The following is an 18,383-nucleotide window of genomic DNA, read 5'->3' as shown; positions in this document are numbered from 1 at the left end:
TCCCAAGTAGCTGGGACTGCGGGTGCCCACCACCATGCCCGGGTAATTTTTGTGTTTTTAGTAGAGATGGGGTTTCACCATGTTGGCCAGGCTGGTCTCGAACTCCTGACCTCAAGTGATCCACCTGCCTCAGCTTCCCAGAGTGCTGGGATTATAGGCGTGAGCCTCTGTGCCTGGCCTTTGTTTTTGTTTTTTTTTTTTTAATGTTTGAAATGATTAACGGCGTACAGTTGACTCTTGATGACTCTTGAACAACACGGGTTTGAACTGTGTGAGGTCACTTATACATGGGTTTTCTTCTGCGTTTGCCACCCCTGAAACTATAAGGCCAACCCCTCTTCCTGCTCCTCCTCAGCCTACCCAGTGTGATGATGACAATGAGGATGGAGACCTTTACAGTGATCCACTTCCATGTAATGCGTGGGAAATATATTTATCTTCCTTGTGATTTTCTTAGTAACGTTTTATTTTCTCTAGTTTATTATAAGAATACAGTGTATAATACATATAACATACAAAATATGTGTTAACTGACTGTATTATTTGTAAGGCTTCCACTGCACAGTAGACTATTAGTTAAGTTTTGGGAGAATCGAGATACGTGTGGATTTTCGACTGTGCCTAGGGTTGGTGCCTCTAACCTCCATGTTGTTGAAGAATCAGCTGTACTTTTAAATGTATATGCTCTTTGCTTAAAATAGCTCACTTTGTAGACATAAAGCCCCAAAACCCTTTTTCCCTGTATTTGATCTGTCTCTGTTTGGAAACTGGTTGCCGGGTTGTAATTTCATGTCAACTTTTGGTTGATACTGTCTGCCTAATACCTTCACATCTTCATTCTTCTTATCTAATAGAATTGCCAATCATGAAAAATTATGAGTAAGAGATTTAATGCTGACAGAAAGTGAAGAACCCATAAATGTTAAACATAGATAAAAGTATTTTAAATTAGCAAGAATGAATATTCTTTAATTTGTAGCTTAACATTTTTCATAGCTTTGTTTTCTTTTTGTATATGTATTATTTTTATAGCCTAAATGTCAAATTAATTAAATCCTAAAATGCTTCTTTAGTATGACCATAATGCCATTTAACTTTTGAGTTTTCGAGATCCCATGATTGGCCTATCATTGTTTCTTTTAGACTCCTGAAGACACTGCTTCATTTTTCTAAGCTTTTCATAAAATACTACTCCTTAACAGTATGGAAAATCATGTTTAATCATTCTGGTTTCTTTGTTCAGACATCTCATATTAATACAACCACATAATTGCTTAAGTATTTAATACTCTTTGAAAATGTGTATTTGCAATGGGAGTTAAGTTGGGTGCAAAGGGCCTCACATTTTTTTAAAGGCCTTAGTGGCTGATGCTTGTTAATTCTTTTGGCATTCCAAATAACTAGATGACCATTTTATTTTTTATTGTTCACAGAACAGCTGAGTCCTTTTTTCAATTTTCCTCTATCTGTGTCTTTTCCCCTCACACATGTGGAGAAAGACGTAATGATTTATCAGTATTTCTTTTTTATTTGTATGCCTATATGGGCATTTAGAACTTTTCTGAAAATTCTGGATAGTGTTTCTTCACTATCAGCTGTAAGATAAAGGAAAAAAGATAACTTTTTATGTACACTTGTGAAGATTGGATACAAGTTGTTCAAATAGATTTCTGTTTTGGGAGAACTGAACTAAATTTTAAAATGACATTTTTTGGCATTAGGGTAGCTAATATTGTGAATAAATAAGCATTAATTTGTTAATACATTCTTGTTAAGAGCTTGGGCTCTGCTAGTTTCAAATCCTAACTTCACCATACATAGATTAGGTTTACTAAACCCCCTATATCTTTCTTCCATAGCTGTGAAATGAGGATCTAATAATACCAGGCTTATGGTTGGAAATACTGAAATGATGTACCTTGTATCTTGTATTTTTATTTCTTAAAACTTTAATAAATAGGCCGGGCACGGCAGCTCACGCCTGTAATCCCAGCACTTTGGGAGGCTGAGGCAGGCAGATCATGAGGTCGGGAGATCAAGACCATCCTGGCTAACACGGTGAAACCCCGTCTCTACTAAAAACACAAAAAAATTAGCCGGGCGTAGTGGCGGGCGCCTGTAGTCCCAGCTACTCTGGAGGCTGAGGCAGGAGAATGGCATGAACCCGGGAGGCAGAGCTTGCAGTGAGCCGAGATCGTGCCACTGCACTCCAGCCTGGGCAACAGAGTGAGACTCTGTCTCAAAAAAAAAAAAAAAAAAAAAAAACTTTAATAAATAATGACTTTTTGTTTGAGATACACCAAGTTTTTTTAAAGCGTATATTTTTCTTCCACATTTTAATTGATTACAAATTTACTATAATCTAATTTAGTACCTCTCATAGATACATCAGCATATTCAAATGCCTTAAAGCTACTGAATATTTCTGGTTATTGTTTATAAGAGAGCATAGCAGGGTGGCTTACTGTTAGAATTATTATTCTTTCACTCCTTATATAGTATTAAGGGTTTCACAAACTAGTGTCCTTGAATTGGGAAAAAACAGAGCTACATGACTTATCCCACATTTTAGAGCTTCAGATTGTAAAATTTCAGTACTGGAAAAAATCAGTTTAAAGTAAGCCATCAGAGACTTACCACTAAAATTTCAACCTGGAAGGAGCTTGCTTCTAATTATGTTTTCAGAAGTAAGCTTTTAATAGAAAGAAATACTTTGCCATTTGTTAATGTGTTCCTGATGTTTTATCCATTGAATTACGGGATACATGACAGAATTCCATCCAACATTATTATTGTGGCACAAAGCACAAACAGGAAAAAAATGAATTTCAGCTGTTTGAATGAAAATAAAAGTGTGATAGGATGGAAAGAATGTCCTGGACCATTTTTTATTTATTTTAAGAAAACAATATATACATATAGAAATATTTACTTAACCAGTTTTTTTCCATATCACTTTTTTAAGATATAAGGACATTGATGATATAAGGACTTGCTGAAAAAAGAAAAAATAAATGAATTTTAAAAATTAAAAAAGATACAAGGACAAAATGAATTTTAAAAACTAAAAAAGATACAAGGACAATCTGTTAACACTGATGTTTCCCAGCTAAATGCTTAATAATGTCAGACATTTTTGGTGAGCAGTTAGCCATAGGTTATAGAGGAGAGGGACTTCATTATCCTGCTAGTAGAGTTTCCTTTACTTGAGACAGTCAATTCAATAAGTCTGTATGTTTTGCATTAAAACCCAGGTTTCTGATTTGTTTTTGATTTGGAGACTTGCAGTGGAAATGTAGAACAAACTTTTTGGTGTATTAGTTTTCTTGGGTATTTGTTGCCTGTGAATTTTATAATGTTTCTTTGTATTTTAATTATTTTTGCAGAACTAGGAAATGCAGATGTGAATGTTTTTCCACACAGTGAAATTAATTGAAGTAACTCCTAATTCATTTTTATTCTTAATATATTAATGAGATCGTTGGAGTAAGCATGCTTGCTCAAAAATGGAAAGGTTCCAGTATTCTTAGGTTTGGATTATAAACAACTGCCTTTATCTCTTCTCTTCAGGCTGAATAGCTGCAAACCGAATTCATCCCAACAATATTCAGCCTACATTTATTCAGCATAACATTTTAAAGCCACTGTGCTGGATAGTGGAGGACATAAAGAGGGATAAAATGCCATCTTCTTTTTTTTTTTTTTTAATTTTTTGTATTTTTATTTTATTTATTTTTTTTTAATTGATCATTCTTGGGTGTTTCTCGCAGAGGGGGATTTGGCAGGGTCATAGGACAATAGTGGAGGGAAGGTCAGCAGATAAACAAGTGAACAAAGATCTCTGGTTTTCCTAGGCAGAGGACCCTGCGGCCTTCCGCAGTGTTTGTGTCCCTGGGTACTTGAGATTAGGGAGTGGTGATGACTCTTAATGAGCATGTTGCCTTCAAGCATCTGTTTAACAAAGCACATCTTACACCGCCTTTAATCCATTTAACCCTGAGTGGACACAGCACATGTTTCAGAGAGCACAGGGTTGGGGGTAAGGTCATAGATCAACAGGATCCCAAGGCAGAAGAATTTTTCTTAGTACAGAACAAAATGAAAAGTCTCCCATGTCTACTTCTTTCTACACAGACACAGCAACCATCCGATTTCTCAGTCTTTTCCCCACCTTTCCCCCTTTTCTATTCCACAAAACCGCCATTGTCATCATGGCCCATTCTCAATGAGCTGTTGGGTACACCTCCCAGACGGGGTGGTGGCCGGGGAAGAGGGGCTCCTCACTTCCCAGTAGGGGCGGCCGGGCAGAGGCACCCCTCACCTCCCAGACGGGGTGGCTGGCCGGGCGGGGGCTGACCCCCCCACCTCCCTCCCGGACGGGGCGGCTGGCCGGTGGGGGCTGACCCCCCGCCTCCCTCCCAGACGGGGCGGCTGGCCTGGCAGGGGCTGACCCCCCGCCTCCCTCCCGGACAGGGCGGCTGCCGGGCGGAGACGCTCCTCACTTCCCAGACGGGGTGGCTGCCGGGCGGAGGGGCTCCTCACTTCCCAGATGGGGCGGCTGCCGGGCGGAGGGGCTCCTCACTTCTCAGACGGGGTGGCTGCCGGGTGGAGGGTCTCCTCACTTCTCAGATGGGGCGGCCGGGCAGAGACGCTCCTCACCTCCCAGACGGGGTCGCGGCCGGGCAGAGGCGCTCCTCACACCCCAGACGGGGCGGCAGGGCAGAGGCGCTCCCCACATCTCAGACGATGGGCGGCCGGGCAGAGATGCTCCTCACTTCCTAGATGGGATGGCGGCCGGGAAGAGGCGCTCCTCACTTCCTAGATAGGATGACGGCCGGGCAGAGACGCTCCTCACTTTCCAGACTGGGCAGCCAGGCAGAGGGGCTCCTCACATCCCAGACGATGGGCGGCCAGGCAGAGACGCTCCTCACTTCCCAGAGAGGGTGAAAATGCCATCTTCATTATCTTGCAGCTTATAGGAAAAAGAAGCCCAAAGATGTTATGTAACTGCAGAATTATTATCCAATATAAATTTTAATAAAAAGGGGCATTCCCAAGCATACTGCTATGACAGTGCAAATTTATATTGCAACTGATTTTTATTCTACATGAGACCCTAAGTCTTTCATTTAATATTCAGAAATTTAAGTCTGATTTTGATATCCTGTGGTCTAACAGCATCTTTTAAAAGAGAGTGACCATAAGATCTGAACACGAGTTAGAAATGAATTGTTTCTGTGTATTAAGTGAATTTTTTTTTCATTAGGTGATGATGGAGTCAATGTAGAAGAAGATGGGAAAACAAAGAAAAGTCAGAAGGATGATGAAGAACAAATTGCTAAATACAGGCAGCTCTTGCAGGTTATTCAAGAAAAAGAAAAGAAAGGCAAAGAAAATGATATGGAAATGGAAATTAAATGGGTTCCAGGTAAGAATTAGATACTAAATGTTTTCTCTTTTTCGAATTTCAGCATGTTGAGTACCTTTTAAATATGAAGGAGCCGGAAATGTTTTGGTGAGGACCTTAACATCATATTTGCATACACCATTTAACTAACTTAATGACTAGCATTTTAGACTCTTACCAACTTATTTTTAATTGGTTTCTTTGATTTACTAACTATAAATTTTTCCTGTCCATTTATCAGAGTAGCTTTTCCTAGGTTTGAGCCTGTATTCTCAAGATATAGAAACTTGAATCCAGGCACCACGTGTTCTAAAGTTATTACACTTCTTTTGAATGTTTAATTCTTAAGTGACCTTTTCTTCCATAACCCCCACTAGTCCTTAATTCATGAGGTTTCACTAACACAAAATATGTATTACATAGTCTTCGATTTTCAATCTTGCTGCGAATAGTCAAAGAAATATAGCATAGTAGAGTAAAATAGTACTAGTACAAAACTAATTAAAATCATGTCAAAGCTAAACAAAGATAAAAGCTGGGATAAATGGGATCATTCTGTAGTAAACAGCAGTTGCCCCTTTTTCATGGTTTCACTTTCTGCAGTTTGTTACCCAGTATAGTACAATAAGATACTTTGAAAGAGAAAGAGGAAGAGAGATTATATTCATATAACTTTTATTACAGTGTAATTATTCTGTTTTATTGTTGGTGTTGTTAATCTCTTACTGTGCCTAATTTATAAGTTAAACTTTATCATAGCTGTAGATGTATAGGAAAAAACATACTAGCTATAGGATTCAGTACTATCCATGATTTCAGACATTCACTGTGGGTCCTGGAATGTATCCTCCTCAGATAATGGGGGACTACTGTACACATTTTTTTCAACATTGTTGGGCAAATCATCAGGGACTTCTGCAGTCAATACTGTTTTTATAGATTACTGCTGTTTATATTATATATGTGTATAACTTTTAAAACCAGATATATTTTTGGATAAGGGTTCAGTTCTTTAGCCTATATTAGTCACTAGGAGAAAGAGTACTAACCAGTTGTAGGAATACCATTGCTTAAAACTTAAAGGTGTTCTGTTACCAATTCCATTTTTATAAGTAGCGTGCTTTTGTATTGGGAATAAAACATATGTTTGCGTGGGTTTTTATTTGGGAAAAAAATAGGGTATTTTGATATTTGAGGATTGACTGGCTATTGTAGTAAATTTGCTAGGATGGACACTGGCTATTGTAGTAAATTTGCTAGGATGGTCTGCTGCATATTCCTACAGGAATGAAGTGCTGTGTTGCAACCCATTTGTTTTAAATGTTTGGCTTTTGCAGGAAGTGGTGGTAAGAACGAATGAAGTTTACTGGTGTATCATATGACAAGTGGTTGGGAGAACTCAATTGATTTGGCCTGGAGAGGAAAAGTCTAAAAAGTGATTTTAACAGCTATTTTTAAATACTTGCAGAATATGTAAATGAAGACTTAATCTCTTTTATTACCTCACAGGTTAGCAGTACTGCCAGTGGATAAAAGTTGAAGGAAGGTAGATTTTAACGTAATAATATAAAGAGGAATTCTCTATATTATTAGAATTGTCTCGCAGAAGAACTGAAGGCTGCTTTAAGGGGTTGAGCTCTCTGTGTCAGTAAATCTCCACCATAAGGCTACATAATTATGCTACTCAGAGATGTCTGTTAAGAAATATTTTACTTGAGTCCCTTGACTTTATGATTCTAAGAAATGTTGAATTCTGTCTTTTAAGTTGAATATATTGTAGTTTAATTCTAATCTTAGAATGAGCTTATTGAATATATTTTAATATGAACATTTTTAAATTGAAGTGTTCAGTTGTCTGAGAAAGCAGATCTAAAATAAACTGGATTGAGGTGTTTTATAGCAAATATTTCAGAAATATATAATGCCAGTTGTAAGGTACAGATATATGATACAGGTTCCCACACTAAGTGGACCACATCTAGATTGTGTCTTTATTAACATAATTATGAAACCGGGCACAGGGGCTCACACCTGTAATCCCAACACTTTCAGAGGCCAAGGTGGGTGGATTACTTGAGCCTCAGATGTTCGAGACCAGCCCGAGTAGCATGGCAAAACTGTTCCATCTCTACAAAAAAATACAAAAATTAGCTGGGCATGGTGGCACACGCCTGTAGTCCCAGCTACTGGGGAGGCTGAGGTGGTAGGATCACCTGAGCTCAAGGAGGTTGAGGCTGCAGTTAGCTGTGATCATGCCACTGCACTCCAGCCTAGGCAACAGAATGAGACCCTGTCTCAAACAAACAAACAAACAAAACATAGTAATGTAGGGCAAATACCTAAAAGTGGTATTTACACCTGTTATCTGTAACTGGAAGTTATAAGCATTGCTTATATTTCCTCAGATAAACCCCACCTTGGTCATGGTACCTTATCTTTTTATATATTCCCAGCTTAATTTAGTAATATTTTATTAAAAATATTTGTACTTGTGGCAAAGAGGAATATGATCTGTAGTTTTCATTCCTCGTATTGGTTTTTGGTATTAGGGTAATGTTGACCTTATGAAGTGAAAATGTAAAATGAAAGATTATCATCTGTAATTCCACTATCCTAATTCAACCACTGGTTAAGAAGATTACAGTTTAATTTACCATTTCTCTGTTGTTGAATATGCAATCAGATTTCTAATCTTTCACTACAGTGGACTTATAACATTGAAAAAAAAATAGGACAGATCTCAAACCCACAAATAACAAGCTTTTCTTAAATTTCTTCATTTTCATGAGCAGCCAAGTAATTGGCTTGCCTTTTTAGGGCCTTTTAATTTTAAAAACTTTTAAAACAGAGGTGTGTTTTTCATCTCTCCCAGCCTAGAAATGTTTCCAAGCATGTCAGGACTAGTAGAGAACAACCAGGCCACAATGAGAAGCTGATGCCTAGCATTCAGGCTTAACTCACTAGTTAGTTACGTGACTTCCTTGCTCACACAGCAACTCTACATGTGCTGTAGATCAACCTGTGGTTCTCTCACAAGCTGTTAAAACTACCAGTGTCAAAACCTCAAATGTTAAATCCCAGATGCCAAGTATCTGGGATGTTATAAATAACCTATAGCTTTTTCCATATTTTGAATTATTTTCATAGGATAGTTTCCCAGAAATAGAGTTACTAAGAAAGGGCATGAATACTTTTTGTGTCTTGAAGTTATTGCCAAATTGCTTTCTGGAAGTGTTGTACCAGCTTATAATACCTTCAACAATCAGTAAGAGTGTCAGTTTCACGGAATTATCGTCAACATTGGGTATATATTTTTTACTTTTAATTGAATAGGGGAAAATTGATATTTTAATGTATGAGTTTCAAAGGTCTTAAACTGTAATATTTTGAAGGCCCCTAATGAGGTATTGTTATCTGTGAATCCTTATGTACATGCACGCATGCACATGCAAGTGTAAAGGGTTTTTCTGTGTGCTATACATATAAGATCATTGAGCAATCTTTCTGTACCTCAGTTTATTCATATGGAAATTGGAACTAATAATACCACTTTCTTGCTTAGAGATACTTACAAACGTTATAAACTACAAAGTACTTTCATGACGTGTATTTCAGTGAATTTATGTCTTAAGAAATGTGTGTTTTCTGTAACAGTTACCCTGAACCTCAGGACTTTTTTGATGTTATGCTTCAGTAAACCACGGAGGGTCAGTATGAGATTATACCGTATCATTCATTGGTTCTGTGGCTTGACTCTCCAAAATATTAACCTCTTCAGGAAAATAAGTACTCTTAATCACTAACATTTATTGTGGTTTGGTTTGATTTTTCAGAAGAAATTCTAGTTTAGACTATTTAAACGTTCTACCTTTTTACATTGGGTTATACAGTATAGTAACATGAGGAGTTTAATTTCTTAAGGGTAAGTATTAAGGGAACTGATAACAGGTTTGTGGGCATAACAACTGGAATGAGCTACTCTTTCTATCAATATTTTAGTTCCTATGGAAATGTAATAATACAATTTTATTAATTAGGATTATAAATAAGTAAAAATGTTGAATTATAAAATTTTTAAAGAAAGTTATACTTAATTATTTTGATGTATGTGAAGTTGTATTTCCTATCTCAATGCGTTGCTAAAGGTATCCTGCCAACTTACTAAGGAGTAGATAAGGTGATGCATATAATTAGCCAGTTGGGCCTTCATCAAGAAATGTACCTCGTTGAGGAATTTCTAATACACGTATAAATGAAGTGTAATCAGTTTTAACTCTTTATATAACTTCCCCTGTATTAATAGTCCAGTTAATCTACATAATATTTTTTGTAGATAATGCAAGCTGAATATAAACAATATATATGAAATTCCATCCAGAAATAAATAATGGCATGTTTGTTTATAATCTTAAATTTTTGATTATGGTAAAAGTCCTGTTTTTCTTAGCTATCTCTGGCCTAATAGATATTAGTGAAATGGATAGCTGGTCTTTTTTCTACTCAGCACTCTACAGAACCCCAACTTCTCTTCCTTACTCCATCAAATACTTACTGAATACCTACTCTGTGCCGGGAATTATTCTATACACTGTGTGAACAAAACATAAAAATCCCTGAACTCACAGATCTTATACTCCGGTGAAGGAGAAACTAAACAGATGACAGATATATAAGAAACATATTTGACCAGGAACTAAAGAAAGTAGAGGTCAGGGAGTGAGCCTGGCCCAGGAAGACTGTGTGAGCAGAGGAAGTAGCATAGGAGTATCCTTGAAGCTATACTTTGTCTCTTGTGTTTGAGGAATCCAAGGAGAACAGTATGACTACAGTGGAGGACAGAAGTAACTGAGATCAGAGAGGTAGTTTGGGGCCAGACATGAAAGCCTTGTAGGCCATTATAAAGACATGAATTTCTGTGACTGAGATGAGAAACCACTGGAGAGTTTTGAGCTCAGGAGCAGTCAAATCTGACTTTTATATTTAACAGGATCATTCTTGCTGCTATAGATAAGTAGATTAAAGTGGGGGGCAAGGACCAAATTGGGGAGATCAATCAAATGGCTGTTGGAGTAATTTTCAGATAATGAAGCTTGTGGATGGAACATGTTTGCAAGGGAGCATCAAGAATTTTTTTTTTCATACATTAAGTTCAAGATGCCCATTGATACCTAAATAGACATGCCAAGGAATCAGTTGGTTATACAGTTAAGAGTACAGGGCTGGTAGAGATATAAATTAGAGAATCTTCATTGTATAAATCTCTGAAAGTGAATAAGAACAACAAGGTAGTGAATATAGGTAAAAAAGAAAGGTTCAAAAGCTGATCCTTGGAGCACTCTAACATCTAGAGGTAGAGGACATGAGCCTGGACCATTCCGAGCAGCTGGAGAGGCTATCAGAGAAGCAGGAGGAAATTCAGAATTGCGGGGTATTCAGCCTGCCAATAAAGAAGGCATTTCAGTGAGAATATGGGTCAATAAAATACAGGCTGAGAATGACCATTGGATTTAGCAGTGTGAAGCTCACTGGTGATATTGAATGGTTTTTGTGGGATGATGGGGGATGAAAGTAGTATGGTTTGAAGGAAGAATGGGAAGAGAAGAATTAGAGACAGTAAGTAGAGGCAACTCTTTTTCTAAAATATTTGATAGAAAGTTGCAAGCACCATGACACGTAAAAAAAAGCACTTCAAAATGTAACTTCCAAAAACTAAGACATGCTTCCATTATAAGCACGTTGCCACTTTCACACCAAGGGAATTGTTAGTCTCAGACTACTAGAGAGATTAACTTATGCCTAGTGGTCCATTATTGGAATGCTAAGCATGTGGAAGTTATTTATATCCTACTGCTCAAAGTTTGATTGCAAAAATTCAAAAAATTGCAACCTCAGGCATAAATGGGTTAAAATGAAAAGATTGCAGCTGGTGGTAGAAGAGTAGGATGCTTGGAAAGTAAGATTGTGGTGGGATTGCAACTTTGGGTAATCACATGACCTGTTTACAATCCTGGCAGTGAATTTCTGAGATGGGATAGAGTGTAGAACCATAGGAGAGGAGGTCAGTGAACTGTGAGGCCAAAGGTACGTTCAGAGGATCATCTGTGTGGATACTGAAGTCACCAAGAATTATGACAGGAGTATTGGAAAGAGTGGCAGTGAGCTAAAATTAAAATGAGAAGAGCATCTGTGGTCATTAGATATCTACATCAGGTTCTGGAAGAATTTGCTTACAAAAAAGATATCTACAATAAGGAAGAGTGTAGTCTATCTAGTATAGCCTGAAAATATGATATTCAGAGTGGAGGCACTGGGGAGGAGGGCCAGCCAGTGGATGGGAATTGGCAGTGAGTCGCAGGGACAGTGGGAGAGAAAAATTCACCTGCTAAAAGAGATAGAGGGGAAGCAGTGTCCTCAGAAGAGAGCTAAGTTTTAGTGAAACTCCACTTAGCAGATAAATGGGTAAGGGGGCTTTTGTTAATGACTAATAACTGACTAGTGAGTAGAACGGCTTTAGTCATTGAGGATGTTCGGCATTGTTTTGGGAGAAGGAATGATTTGGAAATTGTAAACTTCATGTGGTGGCAGATTTAAGTATGAATAAAGGGATTTTGAGATTAGTTTTGATCGTCTTAAAGCTTTCATAGTGGTAGGGATGTGAATGTCATTGGGATATCTTGGCAGGAGCACACAGAGTTCTAGAATACTTACTCTTGGGAAGGAGACATGGAAACCAGAAAACTAGAGGTGCCCCTTACTGTCTCACGCTGGCAAGGACTTCTCTTACTGTCTCACACAGCAAGAGGAGTCCCTTTTTGACTCCTATTCCTTGGGCATGGAGTAGGGGTGTAGCTCTTCCTTTGTTCTGCTTTTTCCTCCTCCACTCTTCACAGTTGTAATTTCATTTTTATTCTGGTATCTGTTCTTTATCCTTCGTCCTCCCCTGCCACATTTATTTTATCTCCATTTCTCTGTTCAGTTGTTCCACTGAGTAGCTTAAACAGAGACATCAGTGACATGCATATGTGGCCATTGTATTATTCATTCTTTTTATTTAGAAGTAAAAATGTTTTTGAATTAGTTGGGCATTCATTTTGTTAGGCAGCCCAGTTTCAAGCATTTTAATTTTTAGATGTCTCAAAACCTGTTCACTGTTTAGTTTTGGCTCCATTTTCATTTATTGCCAATGTGCTCATTATTTGAAATATATTCAGAAAAATTTTTTTTGGCCAGAACTTTTAAAATAACCAGATGTTTAAAATTTTGAATCGAGTATAGAAGAGGGCATTAAATGGAAAACCTGAACTTAAAAATAAGCTAAAAGAATTTGTAGTTTGCCTCAGATTTTGGTGGTGGGGAGGAAACCAGGTCACAGTGCACTCTTGTAACTTGTACGAAGTCACACAGCTGGTAAGTGGCTAAAATTTTAAAACCTAAGCGTGAGCTCCTTCCTTGAATCATCCAGTTAACAGGTTGACTATGAGGCGTTTGTAAGGTAATAAGCTATAACTTCATACTGTGCAAAAAGATTGGAGTCATGTTTGAAATGTGTAATAAAAATGAGAAGCACTTAAGAGTTATCTAAAAATGATGCTAATACATTTCCTCCATGTGATTGCTGGTAATTTTCTCAGTGCTTCTTGAATTATTTGATAGACTGTTTTCTCTCTTAATAATATTGATTTATTGTTATTTTTATTTTTATTTTATTTTATTTATTTATTTTGAGACATTCTTCTGTCGCCTGGGCTGGAGTGCAGTGGTGCTATCTTGGCTCACTGCAACCTCCGCCTCGTAGGTTCAAGTGGTTCTCCTGCCTCAGCCTCCTGAGTAGCTGGGACTACAGGCGTGGGCCACTACGCCCAGCTAATTTTTGTATTTTTTGTAGAGACAGGGTTTCACCATGTTGGCTGGCCGATCTCTTGACCTTGTGATCCACCCACCTCAGCCTCCCAAAGTGCTGGGATTACAGGCATGAGCCACCACGCCCAGCCGATTTAATTTTTAAAAAGAGACTTTCCAAGAAGCTTTTTAAAAAGATTTAACTCAAAAAGCAAGGATATTTTTCTACTAGTAGTTTCAGAAAGTGCTAAAATTGCAATGCCTTATGAAGTTTCAGGTTAATTGATCTGGTTCCCCCCCACATCCCTGCACAGGATTCCAGTTAAAATATGTAAATCAGCAAGATCCTCTGGTTGCAAAGATCTAGAATGATTCTGTTAATACAGTCCTTCCCGCTGTTTGCATGTGTAGCCACCGTTTCTAGACTATACTGTTAATACCTTTTTTTTCTTTTTATAACTATGCCTTAAACTTGCAATCTGCCACAAGTGAGCTCAAGAAAAGAAAACTTGTCACATGTATTGTTTTCCCATAGCCCACAGCTATGCTGATTTGTTTGAAGTTGTGAATTCTTTGGTCTGGAAAGCAAAACTTTCGCTATTCTATTTGTGGTTGTCCTTCATTATTCTATCTGTATTCTAACTGTCTGGCTAGTAAGCTGTCACTTTTCGTTGCACATGTTCCGTGTGTTATTTTGACAGAACTCATTCATACTACTTGCTTTCATCAGTTTCATTATTGCAAAATTGAAAAGTTGGGCCCTGATGTTATGCTGTAGGTTCTTCATAAAGTTTTGCTAAATGGATAACATAATAACCTTTTATTACATTTTCTCACAGATACGTTTTTGAGTATAGCATCTTCGTGTCTCTTCTCAGGTGTTATTTATTTATTTATCTTTTTAAGAGACAAGGTCTTGTTCTGTTGCCCAGGCTGAAATGCAGTGGTTCGATCATGACTCATTCATGGGCTCAAGCGATCCTCCTGCCTCAGCCTCCCAGGCATCTAGGGCCACAGGTGTGTGCCACTATGTCTACCTAGTTCATTTTTTATTGTTTGTAGAGCCAGGCTCTTACTACATTGCTCAGGCTGGCTTCAAAATCCTGGCCTCAAGCTGTCCTCCCTCCTTGGCCTCCCAAAGCGCTGGAATTGCAGGCATGAGCCACCATGCCCTGCTTTTTGAAAGGATTGTATTAATTTGTTGTGCCAACTGGAGAACTTTTTATTGTTTAGCTTTTGAAAGCTCAGAAATACTGATAAAATTATACACAAAATATAATCTGATTCCTACCATAGGTTCAGGTTTTGGAGCCAAGTAAAGGATAGGGTGTAAGTACTTTACTTTTTTGTTTGTTTCTTTCTTTCTTTCGAGAGGGAGTCTCGCTCTTTCGCCCAGGCTGGAGTGCAGTGGGGCTGTCTTGGCTCACTGCAACCGCTGCCTCCCGCGTTCAAGCAATTCTCCTGCCTCAGCCTCCCGAGTAGCTGGGACTACAGGCACACGTCACCACACCCAACTAATTTTTATATTTTTTGTAGAGATGGGGTTTCACCATGTTAGCCAGGCTGGTCTCGAACTCCTGACTTCAGGCGATCCACCCACCTCGGCCTTCCAGAGTGCTGGGATTACAGGCGTGAGCCACTGGGCCCAGCCTGGATAGGGCATAAGTACTTCTCTGTAGATCTTTGGTTTGATACAAAATTTAATCTCACTCTGGGACCATATTGCCATTTTCTGTCCTCTGAAAGATTTGCAGCCTTTCTCAATGTCTTTTCAGTTAGACTGTTGTAGACAGTTGCTCACTGTATGCAATATGCAATGGTAATTTTCGGAATTGAGGTCTGTGGTGAAGCCAGTAAAAACTCCTATGGCTTTAACTGGTGGCTGTGCAAACTGAATCTGCTGGTTTTGTGTGGGAGTGAGAGGGTACTTTCCTTCCTCAATTTAATCTTTACTGAGGGTGGGTGGTGGGATAGCTGTAATCAAATGAGCTATCAAAAGATATACCCGGCCGGGCATGGTGGCTCATGCCTGTAATCCCACCACTTTGGGAGGACAAGGTGGGCAGATCACCTGAGGTCAGAAGTTAGAGACCAGACTGGCCAACATGGTGAAACCCCGTCTCTACTAAAAATACAAAAAATTAGCCAGGCATGGTGGCTCGTGCCTGTAGTCCGAGCTACTTGGGAGGCTGAGGCAGGAGAATCTCTTGAACCCGGCAAGTGGAGGTTGCAGTGAGCCGAGATCATGCCACTATACTCCAGCCTGGGTGACAGAGCAAGACTCCATCTCAAAAAAATTAAAAAATAAAAAAGACATATCCTTGCTCAATCTACCCATTCAGTGATGTGGAAAACTTTTATCTGTAAAATTATTTAGCATGACCTTGAAAACCTGACCCTGTGTATGCCCAAAGATAAGTAACCACTGAGTTCCCGTTGGTATTTGGAATGATGTGCTTTAGTAGTAAATTGAAGCATACACTTTGAAGGTATATGCTTTCCTAATAATTGGAAGTCTGGGCCAGGTGCGGTGGCCCACGCCTGTAATCCCAGTGCTTTGGGAGGCCAAGGTGGGTGGATCACAACATGGTGAAACCCTGTTGCTACAAAAATACAAAAAAAAAAAAAAAAAAAAAAAAAATTAGCCGGGCATGATGGCAGGTGCCTGTAATCCAAGCTACTCGGGAGACTGAGGTGGGAGAATCGGTTGAACCCAGGAGGTGGAGGTTGCAGTGAGCTGAGATCATGCCGTTGCACTCCAACCTGGGCAACAGAGCAAGACTCCATCTCAAAAAAAAATAATAATAATTGGAAGTCTGTCTCTGTAGGACTTAATCAGACTTTTCCTAAGCATTGTCAGCTTAGAGCATCATAAAATATATTTTATTTTAGGATCCCATTGCTGTAAACAGGGGAATTTTAAAAATTTAATTCTTAGATGCATAATTTTGATCCAGAAGAATTACATTTTAAAATAGCCTTTGAGGGGCTGGGCATGGTGGCTCACGCCTTTAATCCCAGCACTTTGGGAGGCTGAGGTGGGCGGATCACGAGGTCAGGAGATCGAGACCATCCTGGCTAACACGTGAAACCCTGTCTCTACTAAAAAATACAAAAAAAATTAGCCGGCCTAGTGGCGGGTGCCTGTAGTCCCAGCTACTCAGGAGGCTGAGGCAGCAGAATGGCGTGAACCTCGGAGTGGAGGTTGCAGTGAGCCAAGATCGCGCCACTGCACTCCAGCCTGGGGAACAGAGCAACACTCCATCTCAAAAAAAAAAAAATATATATATATATATATACACACACACATATATATATATATATACACACACATATATATGTGTATATATATATGTGTATATATATGTGTATATATGTATATATATGTGTATATGTGTATATATGTGTATATATGTATATATATGTATATATGTGTATATATATGTGTATATGTATATATATGTGTATATATATCCTTTGAGGGAGGAAGGGGAAGTTTGCACTTATTGGATGCTTGTGCTGTATCAGGAACTATTCTAGATGCTTCACACACAATACTACATTAAGTTCTTCAAGGTGGTTAGTACCCCATTTGCAGGAGAGAAAAACTGAAGCATAGACTTGCTTAAGATCACAAAACTAGGAGACAGAAGAACTGTCACAGATTTTTTGTAGATTCTGTCATCAGAGAACTGACAAGAATAGAAATAGAGCTTTATAAGGCAAGCTATGGAAAATGCAGTCATACCCTGTATAACGACATTTCAGTCAACAGTGGACTGCATACACAACAGTGGTCCCATAAGAGTTATAGTGCAGCTGAAAAGTTCTTATCAACTAGTGCTGTCATATTTTTGCACAACACATTGCCTTTTTTATGTTTAGATACACAAATACTACTATTGTGTTACAATTGCCTACAGCATTCAGTATAGTAACATGCTGTACAGGTTTGTAGCCTAGGAGCAATAGGTCATACCATGTAACCTAGGTGTGTAATAAGCTATAACATCTAGGTTTGTATAAGTATACTCTATTACGATGTTCACACAATGATAAAAAGGTCTTAACATTAGCCTAGGTGTGTGGTAAGCTACACACCATCTAGGTTTATGTAAGTATACTCTATTTTAATGTTTGCACAACAATAAAATGCCTACACATTTCTCAGAAAGTGTTCCATCATTAGCTGACATGTGACTATTGAAGTCCTAAATGTTAATATTATTTTGATTCTCTATTACCCTCATTCTATATTTTCTCTCTCTTTTTTTTTTTTTCGAGACTGAGTCTCGCTCTGTCGGCAGGCTGCAGTGCAGTGGTGCCATCTCGGCAGGCTGCAGTGCAGTGGTGCCATCTCGGCTCACTGCAACCTCCACCTCCCGGGTTCAAGCAGTTCTCCTGCCTCTGCCTCTGCCTCACGAGTAGCTGGGACTACAGGTGTGCACCACCACGCCCAGCTAATTTTTGTATTTTTAGTAGAGACGGGGTTTCACCGTGTTGGCCAGGGTGGTCTCTATCTCTTGACCTCGTGATCCGCCTGCCTCAGCCTCTCAAAATGCTAGGATTACAGACATAAGCCACCATGCCCAGCCCTGTTTTTTTTTTTTTTAATATACAACTCATTTTTCTCTGGTATACTCTTTCAAATACTGCATAAAGGACACTGCCAATGAAGTAGCCAGTTAATTACAAATACAAAAGTTGAAAGAGTAAACCTTAAAGGATTACTCTGTTTCAAGGATTCCCAACCAGCGTACCACCAGTGGATGACAAATTAGCCACAATCTTGATCCCTTTCATCCTTAGGCCCACCAGAGCCCCTAGGCTGTTTTCTTCTCTGGTTGCTTCCTCCGTTTTCTCTATCTTGCTGTACAAACATTGTCATTGTGTCTACCATGTAGGAAAATGGTTGGGAAGGTACTGCTTTCTTAGTAGTTATTTGGAAAGTCTTTTTAAAAGTAGAGGAATTATGGTTAACTTATATAAACTCACCCTAATAAATATGGAAGAAAATATTTAGATTGCAAGAAGAAAAATCAAGTTTGAATTTAGTTGTGACTGTTATAAATGTTTTTAAATATTGGAATGCTAGGGAAGTTGAAATGTTTATGATTTCTGTTTTTTATAACAAAGA

At 38.7% G+C, this 18,383-nt stretch overlaps 1 protein-coding gene across 3 annotated transcripts in view; it reads left to right on the top strand.

Annotated features, from left to right (window-relative positions):
- ESF1 (ESF1 nucleolar pre-rRNA processing protein) overlaps positions 1-18,383 on the top strand; it is a 70,595-nt gene that overhangs the window by 19,800 nt on the left and 32,412 nt on the right. For all 3 annotated transcript variants that reach the window (NM_001276380.2, NM_016649.4, XM_017027874.3), the window contains exon 9: positions 5,267-5,428. In NM_001276380.2, coding sequence (NP_001263309.1) covers positions 5,267-5,428 — 162 coding nt within the window. The remainder of the gene's footprint in view (positions 1-5,266; positions 5,429-18,383) is intronic.

The sequence above is a fragment of the Homo sapiens genome, chromosome 20, assembly GCF_000001405.40.
Source record: "Homo sapiens chromosome 20, GRCh38.p14 Primary Assembly".
NCBI classification, from domain to species: domain Eukaryota; kingdom Metazoa; phylum Chordata; class Mammalia; order Primates; family Hominidae; genus Homo; species Homo sapiens.
This window is presented reverse-complemented; position numbering and strand designations above follow the sequence as displayed.